Source organism: Homo sapiens, chromosome 2 (assembly GCF_000001405.40).
Source record: "Homo sapiens chromosome 2, GRCh38.p14 Primary Assembly".
NCBI lineage: Eukaryota > Metazoa > Chordata > Mammalia > Primates > Hominidae > Homo > Homo sapiens.
In genome coordinates this window covers 203,234,704-203,252,730 of record NC_000002.12, presented here as the reverse complement: position 1 = coordinate 203,252,730, position 18,027 = coordinate 203,234,704, and the positions used below count along the sequence as shown (strand labels likewise).

General features: G+C 44.2%; 1 protein-coding gene across 19 annotated transcripts in view, besides 5 other annotated features; it reads right to left on the bottom strand.

The window, feature by feature from the left end:
- CYP20A1 (cytochrome P450 family 20 subfamily A member 1) overlaps positions 1–13,713 on the bottom strand; it is a 67,009-nt gene extending 53,296 nt beyond the window's left edge. For 7 of the 19 annotated variants that reach the window (NR_163985.1, NR_163981.1, NR_163982.1 and 4 more), the window contains exons 1-4: positions 13,597–13,713; positions 6,836–6,885; positions 5,810–5,976; positions 622–764 (exon numbers count right to left, since the gene is read on the bottom strand). Coding sequence is in view for 8 of the 19 variants with exons in the window: in NM_001371695.1 (NP_001358624.1) it covers positions 622–764; positions 5,810–5,976; positions 6,836–6,885; positions 13,597–13,668 (432 nt within the window). In the remaining 11 variants the exon portion in view is untranslated. Of the gene's footprint in view, positions 1–621; positions 765–5,809; positions 5,977–6,835; positions 6,886–12,504; positions 13,391–13,596 lie in introns of those variants that run through there. The other 12 variants (NR_163984.1, NM_001371697.1, NM_001371702.1 and 9 more) reach the window with 4 other exon arrangements.
- Positions 12,993–13,282: an enhancer, noted in NCBI's record as "active region_17010". NCBI's record gives its function as "activates an Ori minimal core promoter by ATAC-STARR-seq in GM12878 lymphoblastoid cells {active_cell/tissue: GM12878}" and the evidence as "EXISTENCE:reporter gene assay evidence [ECO:0000049][PMID:35858748]".
- Positions 12,993–13,677: a biological region, named in NCBI's record as "NANOG-H3K27ac-H3K4me1 hESC enhancer GRCh37_chr2:204103777-204104348".
- Positions 13,106–13,677: an enhancer, noted in NCBI's record as "NANOG-H3K27ac-H3K4me1 hESC enhancer chr2:204103777-204104348 (GRCh37/hg19 assembly coordinates)". NCBI's record gives its function as "activates a minimal SCP1, AML or CMV promoter by ChIP-STARR-seq in primed H9 embryonic stem cells {active_cell/tissue: H9 hESC(primed)}" and the evidence as "EXISTENCE:reporter gene assay evidence [ECO:0000049][PMID:30033119]".
- Positions 13,683–13,892: a silencer, noted in NCBI's record as "silent region_12253". NCBI's record gives its function as "represses an Ori minimal core promoter by ATAC-STARR-seq in GM12878 lymphoblastoid cells {active_cell/tissue: GM12878}" and the evidence as "EXISTENCE:reporter gene assay evidence [ECO:0000049][PMID:35858748]".
- Positions 13,963–14,012: an enhancer, noted in NCBI's record as "active region_17009". NCBI's record gives its function as "activates an Ori minimal core promoter by ATAC-STARR-seq in GM12878 lymphoblastoid cells {active_cell/tissue: GM12878}" and the evidence as "EXISTENCE:reporter gene assay evidence [ECO:0000049][PMID:35858748]".

Sequence of the window (18,027 nt, the reverse complement as noted above, 5' to 3'; positions counted from 1 at the left end):
AGCTCAGAGGTGTAGTGGGAATAAGGAACTCTCCAAAGCCAAGCAGCATCTGAAAACTCCTATCATGGAGCACTTTGGGAGGCAGAGGTGGGTAGACCACTTGAGGTCAGGAGTTTGAGACCAGCCTGGCCAACATGGTGAAACCCTGCCTCTACTAAAAATACAAAAATTAGCCCGGTGTGATGGTGCGCACCTGTAATCCCAGCTACTAGGGAGGCTGAGGCACGAGAATTGCTTAAACCTAAGAGGCGGAGGTTGCAGTGAGCCGAGATCACACCACTGTACTCCAGCCTGGGTGACAGAGTGAGACTCTGTCTCAACAACAATAACAACAACAAAATATATATATATATATACACATACATACATACAGAAACTTCTTCAGGTGCTCTCTACTCTCATCATTCCAACTTATACAGTGAGTCTGGATGTTAAGATTTTTGTTTTCTTTTCTTTTGTGTGTGTGTGTTTTGTTATTGTTGTCGTTTTTAATTTCAGAATAAAATTAGCTTAGAGGGACAGGAAAGAAAAGAGTAACAAAGATAGTACACACCAATACTCAAAAAATAAATACTATTATTTATGTTGTAGAACACTAGACCAAACTACTTATCACCTTACCTTTAGGAGGAGGGCAAAGTTACTCTTCAGAGAATCAGTCACACCATTTTCATACAATTTTTTCCTCATGTGGTTTTCACTCACACTGCCACCACCAGATTGATACCTTAATAATGACTTCAGCATGGTTTCAAAAGGGTCCGCTGAAACAGACAAATTAAATATTTCTGTATCAAAATAATCACTCAAAAAGATACCCTGTAAGAGAACAAGAGATCAGGGAGGTAAAGAATTGTAGCTGAAAGCATGGCAACTGTTTTTCATAATTCCCTTGTTTTTATTTTTTATTTTTTATATATATATATATATATATATACACATATATATATAGTTTTCTTTTGAGACAGAGTTTCACTCTTCTCGCCTAGGCTGGAGTGCAATGTCATGATCTCGGCTCACTGCAACCTCCGCCTCCGAGTTTCAAGCAATTCTCCTGCCTCAGCCTCCCAAGTAGCTAGGATTACAGGCGTGTGCCAACACTCCTGGCTAATTTTGTACTTCTAGTAGAGACGGGGTTTCAACATGTTGGCCAGGCTGGTCTCGAACTCCTGATCCCAAGTGATCCGCCTGCCTCAGCCTCCCAAAGTGCTGAGATTACAGGCATGAGCTGCCGCACCCAGCAAACTGTTTTTAAAATATGAACAATTTAAGAGTCAGTGAAAATTGGCAAGAACACAATATCCTGACTGGGAATTCCACTGTTAAGTCATTAATACAGACATAAATTTTCTACCTACATAACTATAATGTCTTCAAATTTTTTTAAAAAAAGCACATTCCCCTGATTTTAAAGCAAAATGGATAAGTTTGTGATTTGTGGTTATCAAGTATTACAGTAAAATTATTTAGCTGGATTCAAAAATTTATTTTCTCCAATTCTTGTTTCTTTAATGACTATTGTTTTCACACGCATACAAAGATACACTGTCATTGTAAAAACAATTCAAACAATACAGAAAAGACAGCAAAATGCATCCGAGATACTGTTAACATTTTAGACATTTTTCACAGCTGTTATCATCTCTTTTTTTTTTTTTTTTTTTTTTGAGACAGAATCTCGCTCTGTCCCCCAGGCTGGAGTGCAGTGGCGCAATCTTGGCTCACCGCAAGCTCCGCCTCCCGGGTTCACGCCATTCTCCTGCCTCAGCCTCCCGAGTAGCTGGGACTACAGGCTCCTGCCAGCATGCCCGGCTAATTTTTTGTATTTTTAGTGGAGATGGGGTTTCACCGTGTTAGCCAGGATGGTCTCGATCTCCTGACCTCGTGATCCGCCCGCCTCGGCCTCCCAAAGCGCTGGGATTACAGGCGTGAGCCACCGCACCCGGCCTAGCTGTTATCATTTCTTAACAGAGAGAGAGACAGAAAAATCTGTCAGATTTCACAAAGAACTACATTCTCCTCTTTCAGAGCACTTCTCTCAGTTCATTAGTGTGATAATTTGAATGTTTACATACTTCCCTCACTCTCCAACATTAGCCTAGAAACTCCATAGGAGCAGAGACCATTCTGGTTTTCCTCATTATATTCCCTGACAGAGCCATCTTTTCATGTTGTATAAAGCCTAGTAATTAAAAGCACAATCTTTTTTTTTTCTTCCTCAGAGATCCTTGTTCTACAAAAGCACAATCTTGAACCAGATTGCCTGACTTCAAGTCCTAGCTCCATCACTAATTAGCTGTGACCTTAGGCAAGTAACTTAACCTCTCTGTACCTCAGGTTTCTCTTCCACAAAAAAGGGATAACCATAATACCTTCTTCATGAAGTTGTTCTGAGAATTAAATGAGTTAATATTTGTAAAGGGCTTGGAATAGTGCTGAGATATCATAATTGCTATATAAGTATCTGATAAAATCAATCTACATCATCGTATTCAGGCCTGAAAGTATTCATTTATTCAGCCATTGATATTTAGGTTGCTTCAAATTTTTTTTTATAAACAATGCTAATATAAATATTTTCTCACATCTGTGATGATCAATTTATGGATCAACTCCTTAAGATATTATTGTTAGGTCAATGGTTACTGTCAACTTTTTCTCCAGAGAGCTTGTATAGTACATGTACACCACATGATTTCCCATTCCCTCATCAACAGTGTGTTCTGCCAGTATTCTTCATCTCTTCTAGGGAGATAAGTAAAATTTCTCATTTTTATTTGTACCCAGCTGAGTATTAGTGAGGCTGAAATCTTTAAATTTGTTTACTCCTTTCTTAATGAGCTTGTTTTTGCCCATTTTTCTAAAAGGGCATTTTTTTTCTTTTTTGAGATGGAGTCTCGATCTGTCATCCAGGTTGGAGTGCAATGGCTTGATCTCGGCTTACCACAACCTCCACCTCACAGGTTCAAGCGATTTTCATGCCTCAGCCTCTCCAGTAGCTGGGATTACAGGTATCTGCCACCATGCTCAGCTAATTTTTGTATTTTTAGTAGAGACGGGGTTTCACCATGTTGGCCAGGCTGGTCTCGAACTCCTGACCTCAGGTGATCTGCCCACCTCAGCCTCCCAAAGTGCTGGGATTACAGGCGTGAGCCACCATGCCTGGCCTATTTTTTCTTATTAGTTTTTAAGGACTATATATATTTAACATATTGGTGGTAAATTACTTTTCCATTTCTCTTTTAAATTTTGTCATGGTGCCTTTTTATTTAACAAAAATATGGTAATCAATTACTACACATCAGGTGTAGCAATGTGTGGCCAACATTTTACCATCTCTCTTTCTTCCTTTCTCAAGGTGATTTTGACTTTGTTTTTAATTTAGAGACAGTCTCAATGTGTCTCCCAGACTGGTCTTCAACTCTTGGGTTCAAGCGATCTTCGCACCTCGGCTTCCTGAGTAGCTGGGACTACAGCTATGTGCTACCGCATCCATTCAAGATGTTTGTTATTGTACTAAAATTTTTCATTTTTATGTAGACAGATTTATCTAACTTGTGTTTTATAGCTTCTAGATCTTGTACCATTGTAAGAGGTTTATCTACATTCTCTCCAACCAAAGAGAAAAAATTTAATATTTAACCATGTTTTCTTGTATTACCTTTATGACCTGATATTTTAATCATCTAGAATTTATTTTTATATAAGAAATAAGGCAGAGGCCAGGTGAAGTGGCTCACACCTATAATCCCAGCATTTTGGAGGGCAGAGGTGGGAGAATCGCTTGAGTCTAGGAGTTGGAGGCCAGCCTGGGCAACGTAGCAAGACCTCATCTCCACTAAAAAGTAAATAAATTAGCCAGGCATGGTGGTGCATGCCTATAGTCTCACCTACTCAGGAGGCTGAGGTGGGAGGATTGCTTGAGCCCAGGAGTTGTAGGTTATACAGAGAGCTATGATAGCACTGCTGCACTCTAGCCTGGGCAAAAGCTGGGCGGGGCGGGGGGAATAGAATAAGGCAGGGATTGAGATTTATTTTTTACAAATAGCTAACCAATATTCCCCAAAACATTTATTACTTTTCCCTTTTGTCATAAAATGCTATCTTTATCATACATATTTGGTTTGTCTTCTGAACTCTCTACTCTTTTACATCTGTTTGCCTAGCTTGACCACAGTATGAGAGTCTTTTTTTTTTGAGATGGAGTCTCCCTCTGTCACCCAGGCTGGAGCGCAGTGGTATGATCTCAGCTCACTGCAACCTCTGCCTCCCGGGTTCAAGAGATTATCCTGCCTCAGTCTCCCAAGTAGCTGGGATTACAGGCGCACATCACCAGGCCTGGCTAATTTTTGTATTTTTAGTAGCGACAGGGTTTTACCATGTTGGCCAGGCTGGTCTCGAAATCCTGACCTCATGTGATCTGCCTGCCTTGGCCTCCCAAAGTGCTGGGACACCAGGCAGGAGCCATCACGCCCGGCCAGGAGATTCTTTTTTTTCAAGAGACAGGTTCTTGCCCTGTCCCCTGGCTGCCTGGCTGGAGTAGAGTGGCGCAACCTTGGCTCACTGAAGCCTCAACCTCCCGAACTCAAGCAATCCTCCCACCTCAGCCTCCCAAGTAGCTAGGTCTACAGGCACATGTATCACATCTGGCTAATTTTTGTATTTTTTGTAGCAATGGGGTCTCACTATGTTGCCCAGACTGGTCTTGAACTCCTGGGCTCAAGTGATCCTCCCACCTTGGCCTCCTAAAATGTTGGGATTACAGGTGTGAGCCACTATGCCTGGCCAATACAAGATTCTTTAATCTAGCTTTATAATACTCTATACTAACTGATGGTACAAGTATTTCCCTCATTAATATTCTGTGTTTTTTGGAGATGGAATCTTACTCTGTTGCCCAGGCTGGAGTGCAGTGGTGCGATCTCAGCTCACTGCAACCTCTGCCTCCCAGGTTCAAGCAATTCTCTTGCCTCAGCCTCCCGAGTAGCTGGGACTACAGGCACACCTCACCACGCTCAGCTAATTTTTGTATTTTTAGTAAAGACAGGGTTTCACCATGTTGGCTAGGATGGTCTCGATCTCCTGACCTCATGATCCACCTGCTTCGGCCTCCCAAAGTGCTGAGATTACAGGTGTGAGCCACCATGCCCAGCCCATTAATACTCTTTTTAGGATTGTTTCCTGGTTGCTCATGTACATTTACTCTTTACTCTTCCAGATATACCTTGGAACTATTTTTTCAGGGTCCCAAAAAAATCCTGTTGGAATTTACACTGAGATTTTATCATATATGCTTATAAATTAAGGAAAAACACAATTATTTAAAATACTATCTTAAATTAGGCAATAAGACATCAGCACAGTGCCTAGCACATAGTACAAAGCATTCAATAAATGTTGGCTATTCCTATCCAAGAACAATATATATATACAGTTTTTATTTATAAACATTAATTCTTTTTTTATTTTTTTGAGACAGTCTCGCTCTGTCGCCCAGGCTGGAGTACAGTGGCACAATCTTGGCTCACTGCAGCCTCCGCCCCCGGGGTTCAAGAGATTCTCATGCCTCAGCTTCCCAAGTAGCTGGGATTACAGGTGTGTGCCACCACACCCGACTAGTGTTTGTATTTTTAGTAGAGAAGGGGTTTCACCATGTTGGCCAGGCTGGTCTCGAACTCCTGGCCTCATGTGATCCACCTGCCTCAGCCTCCCAAAGTGTTGGGATTACAGGTGTGAGCCACCGTGCCCAGCCTAAACATTCATTCTTAAAAGGTAAGGATCAGGTAATTAGAAAGAAAATTAAACTTACATGTCTTATTGGGATTGATATGCTGCTTCAGTACATCAACAGTGCCCAAACTAACCACGAGGCGCCTGCCAAACCAGAAGGAGACCACAGGCCCATATCTCTCATGCAAATTAACCAGGAACTCATGCAAACTTCCACTATTCACAATATCTGGAAGATTACCATCTCTGGCAAAAGAGCAACATTTGACAAAATAATCAATTTAATTTGGAAAAATGAGAAAAACAACAGTTGACTCTGAATTAACTGTATCAATAAATGAGAACAAAGGTTCATGAAATTCAAATTACTGCAAAATCCAAAACTCAATTATATTTGCCTTCTTGCTATATTTCTATAGTTATATTTAGATATGGATTTGTCTGATATTTTAAGAATTCTTAACACTTCAAACCAAATAAGAAAGCTCCATAGGAACATCCGACTTAGATACTGGAAAGCTATCCCACTTTCCCAGCACCTAATTCTGAGATGACAATGGACATCATCGGCTGGTGAAAATCATCAGATCAGCTATGGCAATCTTTTCCTTCTTTCCTTCTATCTTAATCCTCTTTTCAGCTTTCTCTGGCAAGGGGAAGTGAAAGCAATGAAATGTTTTGATTTACACGACCCTCCTTTCTGTTAACAAAGTTTAGGTTACATGCCAAGGTAAATTTAGGGCAATCAAAGGAATTGAATTGAATAAGATGAGTGATCTAAAAATATGGTTTATCATTTTGGTTTGTCTTCTGAACTACCTACTCTATTCCATCTGTCTGCCTAGTCCTACCACAAAATAACCTTAGTTTTCTTTTTACTTATTTATTTTTTTTAGAAACAGGGTCTGGCTCTGTCGCCTAGGCTGGAGTGCAGTGGCACAATCATAGCTCACTGAAGCATTAAACTCCTGGCCTCAAGCGATCTTCCACCTCAACCTCCTCAGTAGCTGGCAACAGCTACCATGATTGGCTAAAAATATGGTTTAGTCTTGATATCAATAATGAAGAATTAACTCTACTTAATTCCAAGAAAATAATTACTCACTTTTCTTCAGTTGGAGTAATCCCTGGAATTCCTGCAGCTTGTCTGGAAGCCTTACAAAAAAAAAGTTTATAATAATGAATTATCATATATCCCATAAGTCAGATGTGTTTCACCAACACATCTGCAGGACCTTAAATAATAGCTTTCCAATTAAGCTGAATCTAAGAAATTATTTCCATATTAAAATACAAAAAAAGGGGTTCTTTGCATGGAAAAGAATGATTTCCATGTCCTTTGCAGGGATACAGATGGAGCTGGAGGCCATTTTCTTTAGCAAACTAACACAGGTACAGAAAATCAAATACTACATGTTCTCACTTATAAGTGGGGGCTAAATGAAGAGAACACATGGACACATAGAGGGGAACAATACATGCTGGGGCCTTTCGGAGGGTGAGAGGATCAGGAAAAACAACTAATGGGTACTAGGCTTAATAATTACCTGGGTGATGAAATAATCTGTACAACAAACCCCCTTGATACAAGTTTACCTATGTAACAAATCTGCACTTGTACCCCTGAACTTAAAATGAAAAAAAAAAAAAAAATTTTTTTTTAAAGAATGATTTCAGCCGAGCGCAGTGGCTCAGGCCTGTAATCCCAGCACTTTGGGAGGCTGAGGAGGGCAGATCACGAGGTTAGGATATCAAGACCATCCTGGCTAACACGGTGAAACCCCTTCTCTACTAAAAATATAAAAAATTAGCCGGGCGTGGTGGCACACACCTGTAGTCCCAGCTACTCGGGAGGCTGAGGCAGAATTGTTTGAACCCGGGAGGCAGAGGTTGCACTGAGCCAACATCGTGCTACTGCACTACAGCCTGGGCAACAGAGCAAGACTCTATCTCAAAAAAAAAAAAAAAAGGCTGGGCGTGGTGGCTCACGCCTGTAATCCCAGCACTTTGGGAGGCCGAGGCAGGCGGATCACGAGGTCAGGAGATAGAGACCATCCTGGCTAACACGGTGAAACCCCGTCTCTACTAAAAATACAAAAAATTAGCAGGGCGTTGTGGCGGGCGCCTGTAGTCCCAGCTACTCGGGAGGCTGAGGCAGGAGAATGGCGTGAACCTGGGAGGCGGAGCTTGCAGTGAGCCTAGATCGCGCCACTGTACTCCAGCCTGGGCGACAGAGAAAGACTCCGTCTCAAAAAAAAAAAAAAAAAAGAATTATTTCATTCAGGATATTATTCTTCCTCTGTCAGTTAAACTAAGGTGTTTGAAAAATTTAATATACACTCTACATCAACTAACACATATCCAGTACATTTTTCGTCGTTTTCTTTGTTGTGAGTTTATATATGGTCCCAGCTGGTTTGGCTTTAAAAAAAAAAAAAATCAAGGTCCATTCTACCACTTTCATTATGATGATGCAAGAAACAGAAGAAAACTGCTGTGCTGGGCCGGGCGCAGTGGCTCCTGCCTGTAATCCCAGCACTTTTGGAGGCTGAGGTGGATGATCACTTGAGGTCAGGAGTTCAAGACCAGCCTGACAAACATGGCAACCCCATCTGTACTAAAAATACAAAAATTAGCTGGGCATGGTGGCACACTCCTGTAGTCCCAGCTACTCAGGAGGCTGAGGCATGAGAATCACTTGAACTTGGGAGGCGGAGGTTGCAGTGAGCTGTGATTGCACCACTGCACTTCAGCCTGGATGACAGAGTCAGACTCTGTCTCAAAAGAAAAATAAGGAAAAACTGCTGTGCCGGAGCCATTTTCTTGAGTGGGTGGGAAGGTAGGAGATCTAGTACAGGAGTGAAGAGACGGGGGGCGGGGGCATTTAATTGGGAGCATAGCCAGTTCACAGTAATAGGAGGTAACGTGGAATATAAGGGCACAAATTTAGGCAGATAGGCAGGGTGGTCTGGAAATTATCTCCAGATTGGTGTCATTTTTTCAATGAAATAGGCCAGGTGTGGTGGCTTGCATCGATAATCCCAGTACTTTGGGAGGCCAAGGCAGGACGATCATTTGAGTCCAGGAGTTTGAGACCAGCTTGTGCAACACGGGGAAACCCCGTCTCTTTAAAAAGTACAAAAAATTCGCCGGGTGCAGTGGCCAGCACTATAGTCCTAGTTACTCAGGAGGCTGAGGCAGGAGGATCACTTGAGCCTGGGAGGTCAAGGCTGCAGTAAGCCAAGGTCACACCACTGCACTGCAGCCTGGGTGACAGAGTGAGACCCTGTCTCAAAAAAAAAAAAAAAAAAAAAAGAGGCCAGGCGCAGTGGCTCATACCTGTAATCCCAGTACTTTGGGAGGCCAAGGTGGGCGGATCACTTGAGGTCAGGAGTTCAAAATCAGCCTGGCATACATGTTGAAACCCCGTCTCTATTAAAAATACAAAAATTAACAGGGCGTGGTAGTGGGTGCTGTAATGCCAGCTACTCAGGAGGCTGAGGCGGGATTTGAGCCCGGGAGGCGGAGGTTGCAGTGAGCCGAGATCACGTCACTACACTCCAGCCTGGGAGACAGAGCGAGACTCTGTCTAAAAAAAAAAGAAAGAGGCGAGAGTGGATCACGAGGTCAGGAGTTCAAGACCAGCCTGGCCAACACAGTGAAACCCTGTCTCTACTAAAAATACAAAAATTAGCCAACTGTGGTGGCACACGCCTGTACTCTCAGCTTCTCGGGAGGATGAGGTGGGAGAATCGCTTGAACCCGGAAGGTGAAGGTTGCAGTGAGCCGAGACCACACCATTGCACTCCAGCCCCAGCCTGGGTGACACAGTAAGACTCCGTCTCAAAAAAACAAGAGATTATCAGTTATTGGTGAAGACAGAAGATTTGAAGACAGGGAAGGAATGAAAAGTTATCTAGAAGATTTGGAGAGTGAATGCACCAGGGGATTTCCAGACACCCCACTTAAGGTTTATGAATTAAAATGAGACTAGTCAGTATGGCTGTGTTCTTTTCTGCCTGTGTTTTGTTTGTTTGTTTGTTTTCCAGCTGTGTGGGTTCAGGGGCGGAATTGACAGAGCATTTGATTTAATCACAATTAGGGTTTGCTAGATGATTATGACAAATGGATACAGGGCAAAGGAATTGAAGGTATATGCAAAGGAGTGGTTATAGTAACAGACCATGCAACCTAAGCTTTTTTTTTTTTTGAGACATGGTCTCACTCTGTCACCCAGTCTGGAGTGCAATGGCGCCATCTTGGCTAACTGCAGCCTCGATCTCCCAGGCTCAAGCGATCCTCCTGCTTCAGCCTCCCAAGTAGCTGGGACCAGGGACCACGGACGCTCACCACCATGTCTTATTTATTTATTTATTTTAGAGACAAGGTCTTACTATAATGCTCAGTCTAGTCTCAAACTCCTGAGTTCAAGCAATCCTCCCACCTCAGCCTCCCGAAGTGCTGGGATTATAGGCTTGAGTCACCGTGCTGGCCATAAGCTTCTTACATCATCAGTTTCTCCTTTATGACTTGACAGCCCTCATCAGCATAATGTAATTTCTCCTACCTTAAGAGAAATTCACCTCACTTCCTTCTCTAGTTATCAGCCCCCTTTACTGCAAAACTCTAAAGAGCTATCTATACTTGATATCTCTGAATCCACACCATTTAGGTTTATCACCCCAATTACACTGAAACCGCTCTTCTTAAGATTACAAATGTTGCGGTGGCTCATGCCTGTAATCCCAGATCTTTGGAAGGCTGAGGCAGGAGGATCACTTCAGCCCAGAAGTTCGAGACCAGCCTGGGCAACAAAGCAGGACCCCATTTCTATAAAAAATTAAAAAATTAAAAAATTAGGTTGGGCACGGTGGCTCATGCCTGTAATCCCAGTGCTTTGGGAGGCCAAGGTGGGCAGATCACTTGAGGTCAGGAGTTCGAAACCAGCCTGGCCAACACGGTGAAATCTTGTCTCTACTAAAAATAAAAAAATTAGCTGTGTGTGGTGATGTGTGCCTGCAGTCCCAGCTACTTGGGAGGCTGAGGCAGAAGAATCGCTTGAACCTGGGAGGCAGAGGCTGCAGTGAGCAGAGATCATGCCACTGCACTCCAGCCTGGGCGACAGAGCGAGACTTTGTATCAAAAAATAAAAAATAAAAAATTTAAAAATTAGCCAGGTGTGGTGGCATGAGCATGTAGTCCCAGCAACTTGAGAGGCTAAGGTGCGAGGATCGCCTGGGGCCAGGAGTTTGAGGTTACAATGAGCTATGATGGTACCACTGCACTGTAGCCTGGGCAAGAGTGAGACTCTGTCTCTTAAATGAAACAAAACAAAAAATAAAGATTACCAATGTTATCAAATTATTAGGCCTTAACTTAAAATATCTGCAGCATTTGACTTAGCTGATTATCCTCTTCTGCTTAAAACATCTGGCTTCCTTCTATTTGTGTGGCTGCTCCTTCTCAGTCTCCTTTGCTGGCTCTTCTTTCTCTCCTCAACCATTAACATTGGAGAATCCAGGGAATGGTCCCTGGGACCTCTTCTCTCCTGTATCTAAATTGTCTGGGAGATAGCAACCAGTTCTCCTCGCTTTAAATACCATCTATACATTGATAGCTCCCAAATGTGTATCTTCAGCCTGGACTTTTCCCATAAACTCAAGACATATATTCAGTTACTCCTCAACATCTCCACTTGAATGTCTAACAGGCATCTCAAACCTAGCCCACCCAAAACCAACTCCTAATCTCTATAAATCCCCACTACCTCCCACCAAAACAAAACTAAAGAACAACCACCACCAGCAAAACCCCTGATCTTCCCTGGAATTAATCTATCCTTCCAGATACCAGGCTAAAAATAACTGGTGTTTTCCTTGATGCCTCTCTTTCACATTTCACATCCAATCCACTGGGAAATCCCATTGGCACTATCTTCACAATTGACTAGTTCTCATTATCTGTGCCACTACTACCATGATCCAAGCTGAAATGATAATATCCTCCTAATTACTTGGCTTGCTTCCATCCTTACCTGGAGACCCATGTCAATTCATGACTTAGCAACCACAATGATTCTTTTAAAATTTATCTAATAAAATTAAATTTGAATTCTATCCAATTTCAAATGGCATTCATCTGCTGAAATCCTCCAGTGGCACACAGCAAAAGTCCATTAAAAAAGCCTTACAAGTCATTTAAAATTTGTCCTTCACTCCCATCTTTCTGACTTTCTCTCCTCTGGTATCTTCCTCATTTACTACACTCTAACCACACTGGTCCCCTTGCTTTCCAGGAACACACCAGGCGTGTCTCCCTCTGAAGGTTTGCATTTGCTGCTCCCTCGACCCAGAATGCTCTTTCTCAGAATGGCTTGCACCTTCACCTTCTTCGCGTTTCTACTCAAATGTCTCCGTATCTCCTGGCCATCCTACTTTAAAATAACAATCTACCTATCCCCAACTTTATTTCTACCCACAATCCTATGTTATTTGTTTCTATTGTCTGTTCCCCTTCTCTAGGAAATAAATTCCAAGAGTCAGGAATTTTCTGTCCGGTTTGTTTCACGGCTGGATTCCCAGCACGTGGAACCATATCTGGCACATAGCTAGTGCTAAGAATAAACAGTGTGCTTCTATGAGCTGATCAAAGAAGAGTATCATTTTAAAATCACCAAAAATTCAAGAACCACTAAAATTGTTTAGTTTCTCAGAAAATAAGATTTCAGGAAGTCCCTGATTGTGTAGTTGCAAGATTCTAGTCTAATCCATTTACCTGCTCGGAAAAGAACATTTAAGAAGGTGTATGGTCAATTCCAGCAGTTCAGCTACTTTTCAACTTTCACTGTAAAACCACCACCTTGCTTTGTAGAACAGGTGTTTTTTGTTTGTTTGTTTGTTTGTTTTGAGATAAGAGTCTGGCTCTGTCGCCAGGCTGCAGTGCAGTGGTGCGATCTTGGCTCACTGCAAGCTCCGCCTCCCAGGTTCAAGCGATTCTCCTGCCTCAGCCTCCTGAGTAGCTGGGATTACAGGCGCCCGCCACCACAGCCAGCTAATGTTTGTATTTTTAGTAGAGACGGTGTGTCACCATGTTGGCCAGGATGGTCTCGATATCCTGACCTCGTGATCCGCCCGCCTCAGCCTCCCAAAGTGTGTAGAACAGGTTTTAAAGACGGTCCTCAGTCATCAACACTTTTGTTTTCAGACCCTCCCTCTCTCGCTGACGGAGGCAAGTGGAGAGAGGAGGACCGGAGGCTCGCAGAGGCGTCAGCGGCAGAGGAAACCTCGCACCCGAACCCGCAGCGCGGCGCTCTCCCCAAAGAAGCATTTGCCTGGAGCCCCTAAGAGGAGCAAGACCTGGACCTCGAGCACTTTGGATTCCAGTCAGGATAGATCGATGGACAGATGGAAAAGAGGAATACACAAGTGCTGGGAGAATCCTCAAGAAAGGAGAAAGGAGTGGCGCGCCCAGGAGTCTCGTCCTGACACACTGGGAAATGAAATTTGGGTTTGGCGAGTTATGGCCAAAAAGCTGCCCAAAGTACTTGAGAGCCGCCTTGGAGAGTGGCGCGGGGTGCCTGGCAAGGTGAGACCGGCCTGCGGGGGCGCGGGCTTTTCCTCAGCAGCTCTACGCCCGCCTGGCCCGGCGCCTGAGGGGTAGCGACGCAGCCCACGTCGCTCTCAGAGCTTGCCGGGAGGGGCGTCACGTGACTCCGGGTGCGGTCCCCGCGCTGAAGCTCTGGAGCGAACCCGAACCCTCCTCTCAGGCCCGCCCCCTGCGGCCCGCAGCGGGCAGGTTGGCCTGGATGCCGGCGACAGAGAGACTGGGGCGGCGCCCGGGGCCCCAGAGAGCCAAGACGGCGCTCACCGGATAGAGGTAGAGCACGGCTCCCACCAACGCCAGCAAGAAGGTAACGGCGAAGATCGCGAAGTCCAACATGGTTCTGCCGCCCAGGGAGCCACGTCTCGGATCGGCCGCTCCAGCAGCAGCGCCTCAGCCTGGCCCAATTTAAGGCATAGCGTGTGGGCGGGGGCACCCCGCGGGACCCGGAAACCAACGGGCCGCTGGGGGCGTGACCGAGGCCTGCGGCCGGCGCCAGAGGAAAGAGCAATGGATCGCCGAGGAGCCGGGGCGCGGGTTCCTGAGCGCAGCAGGCCGAGGCTGAGGCCGCCTAGCGCCAGCCTCCACCGCAAGGCGGGGATTTCGGTGCACACGATTTCAGACAGAATATGCCCGCGACTTCGGACCGGGTTGCTGGCGAAAGCAGAGCCCAGCTTTCTGAGAAAAGTTAGGAGTTAGTAGTGCTCTGTCCGCCCAACAGTTTTCGCAATGGATTCAGAATTAAAACCTCTAAACCGATGATTTTCGAAGAGTGGTCCCGGTACCAGCTGCATCAACGTCGCCCGGGAGCTCGTTAGAGATTCAGATTATCGATGCCGGGCGCGGTGGCTCCACCTGTAATCCCAGCACCTTGGGAGGCTGAAGCGGGAGGATCGCTTGAGCCCAGGAGTTTGAGACCAGCGTGGGCAACATAGTGAGACCCCAGTCTCTACAAAAAAAAAAAAAAAAAAAAAAAAAAAATTAGCCTACAGTGGTGGCGCTTGCCTGTGGCCCCAGCTGCTCCGGAGGCTGAGGCTGGAGGATCACTTTAGCCGGGGAGGCAGAGGCTACAGTGAGCCGAGATGGCACGACTGCACTCCAGCCTGGGCGACAGGGCGAGACCCTGTCTCAAAAACAAAACAAAACAAAACAAAAGGAAAACAAAATAAAAAGATTCTCGATCCCAAACTAGACCTACTGAATCAAACACTCGGGGTGGGCAGGGGTAGGGGGCGCGTACAACAATCTGTTTGAACAGAGCCCTCCCGGGGACACTGTTACACACTTAAATTTGAGTGAAAACCACCACTGATCTAAGCGGGACAGGGAAGTGTCTGGGAGTAAAACAAGAGTAGATACGCCTTGTTTCGCAGAATTTCTGTCTGAAGTACTAGTAAATGTGATTCTTTGACACTTTCTGGTGAGCGGAGGCTGCACACTGTTCAGGTTTCCTTGCTCTGTTAACTCTGACTTTCGGTAAATTGCTTCAGTTTTCTAAGCTTCCATTTCCTTCTATGTAAAAAAGTGAAAATAATACCACATGGAGTTGCCTGTAGGTTAAATTACATATTTTATGAAAATCACTTAGCACAGCTCCTGGCAAAACCGAATAAGTGCTATCTACGTCAGCATTTGGCGTTTGTTGCCCTGGGCATAAAATACCCTAGGACCCCTCTTTCTATTTCGCCTGGCTCAGAAGTTTTGACGTGGCTACTGAAATACAAGACAAGGCCTGCTACTTACTAGTGCTGCTTTTAGTGAAAGTGTGCTAAAAGTATTTATAGATTTTATAGCTTTAATAATATAAAATGTCAAGAACAGGCAGCAATTTGGCAAGAGAAATTCCAGATTGCATTTTACAGCTTCTATGATAAATGACTGTTACATAAGCAGGAAACATACCTCATTGAAAATGGCAACTCTTTTGGCATCTATAGCAAATATAATGAAACATGCTGTTTAATATTTCACTTGGCAGAAATTGTATTTTTAAGTCTTTCTCTGCATATAAATGTGCTTTAAACTGTCGTATGTTCAAAGTTCATTTTTAAGTCTCTTGTTCAGAATTTTAAAGATATTTCTTGTCAAACTGATGTTCCCAATAGGTTTTCAAAACAGTAAATGTAAGAGTTTTTTGTTTGTTTGTTTTGTTTGTTTGTTTTTGAGACGTAGTCTCCCTCTGTAGCCCAGGCTAGAGTGCAGTGACGGGATCTCGGCTCACTGCAACCTCCGCCTCCCAGGTTCAAGCAATTCTCCTGCCTCACCCTCCCGAGTAGCTGGGATTACAGGCACGCGCCACCATGCCCAGCTAATTTTTGTATTTTTAGTAGAGATGGGTTTCACCATGTTGGCCAGGCTGGTCTTTAACTCCTGACCTCGTGATTCGCCCCTCTGGGCCTCCCAAAGTGCTGAGATTACAAGCGTGAACCACCCCGCCCGGCCAAACATAAGAGTTTTAACTGCATAAGGTAGCCATATAACCGTAATCTTAGGTACCGTAATCTTAGGTACCAATCCTTCAAGATATCTAGAATTCTCTTTTAGTCCTAAATTGACCTACATCCTGAGACTCTCTGAACTTTGAGGGCTGTAAAAAAGAGACAAAAATTCCAGAAATTGTCAGGGCACCATATTTTATAGTGTGAGTCTCTAAACTAGACATCTACCTCCTCTTCCTGTGTTCCTAAAACGTTTTGCCCAGATACTCCCTAAAAGCATATATAAATAATATATATATAATATATATATACACATACACACATATATATCTTTTCACACATTTTTTGTATTGACATCTAAAATTTTTATCTTGACTTTAAAGGATTAAATTTCTGTCATATTATAAATATTCACGTTTTGAAATTGTTACAGCTCTCTTTTAAGTGTATGAAAAGGAATGTAAATATAATAGTGATGTGATAACTATAAGACTTTTTTTAAAAACACACAAACTTGGCCAGGTACGGTGGCTCCACCTGTATTCCCAGCACTTTGGGAGGCGGAGGCGGTCAGATCACTTGAGGTCAGGACTTCAAGATCAGCCTGGTCAACATGGGGAAACCCCGCCTCTACTAAAATTACAAAAATTAGCTGGGTGTGGTGGCATGCGCCTGTAATCCCAGCTTCTCAGGAGGCTGAGGCAGGAGAATCACTTGAACCCGGGAGGCAGAAGTTGCAGTGAGCCAAAATGGCGCCACTGCACTCCAGCCTGGACAAAAACAAAACCCAAAACAAAACAAAACAAAACAAAAAACCCATACACTTTTTGTGAACAACTGGAAATTTTCCATGGTTCCTTTTTCTGAACTTATTTTTATTGCACTTATCCGACAGAATTTTATTCTAATGAAATTATTTTTATCCTTGAAAGTAATTTTCTTCATCACCTGTCATACTTCTTCTCTTCAACATGTACTCATGTTGAATTAAAAAATAGTTTTTGGGGCCAGGCGTGGTGGCTCATGCCTGTAATCTCAGCACTTTGGGAGGCCGAGGCGGGCAGATCACGAGGTCAGGAGATCGAGACCATCCTGGCTAACATGGTGAAACCCTGTCTCTACTAAAAATACAAAAAAGAATTAGCTGGGCGTGGTGGTGGCGCCTGTAGTCCCAGCAACTCAGGAGGCTGAAGCAGGAGAATGGCATGAACCCGGGAGGTGGAGCTTGCAGTGAGCTGAGATCGTGCCACTGCACTCCAGGCTGGGCGACAGAGCGAGACTCCGTCTCTAAAAAAAAAAAATAGTTTTTGGGCCGCACACAATGGCTCACACCTATAATCCCAGGACTCTGGGAGACTCAGAAGTTCACTTGAGCCCAGGAGTTCAAGGTTATAGTGAGCTATGGTTGTGCTACTGCCCTCTGTCCTGGGTGACATAGTGAGACCTAGTCTCTAAAAAAAGTCTAAAAACCACAAAAGTTTTAAACTCTGTGGCTTTAAAAACTCCTACAAATGTATTTATTTTTTTTTTCTTTTTTTTTCTTTTTTTTTTTTTTTTGAGATGGAGTCTCCATCTGTCGTCCAGGGTGGAGTGCAGTGGCACAATCTCGGCCTACTGCAACCTCCGCCTCCCAGGTTCAAGTGATGTTCCTGCCTCAGCCTCCTGAGTAGCTCAGACCACAGGCACGCGACACCACGTCCGGCTAATTTTTGTATTTTTAGTAGAGACGGGGTTTCACCATATTGGCCAGGCTGGTCTCGAACTCCTGACCTCGTGATCCACCTGCCTTGGCCTCCCAAAGTGCTGGGATTACAGGCGTGAACCACCGCATCTGGCCTTAATTTTCTTTTTTGAGACGGAGTCTCACTTTGTGACCCAGGTTTGGAGTGCAGTGGTGAGTCCCAGCTTTGGAGTGCAGTTTGGAGTCCCAGCTGACAACAACCTCCAAATGAATCTCTGGTTGGCTACTACTAGATTCCTTAGATTGGAATTGTGAACACACAATCTTCTTAGAATATAGGGTCATTCTCAGGGTATGCTTACGTTATCACTGTCAGGTGTGTCTACCATGCAACTGTCACCACTGATGTTCATTCCTTCAGACTACGCCACCTGGGCTTCTTATGAGCTTGCTTCTAATTCCACCAAGAGGCATCAATAGGCTAAGGCTGAGAAGAGAGCAGCTTTAGAAGCCTCCTGTTTTGCTCCCTGTCAGCTCTGAGCCATATTTGCTGGCAGGAGCTACATCCCACTATATATA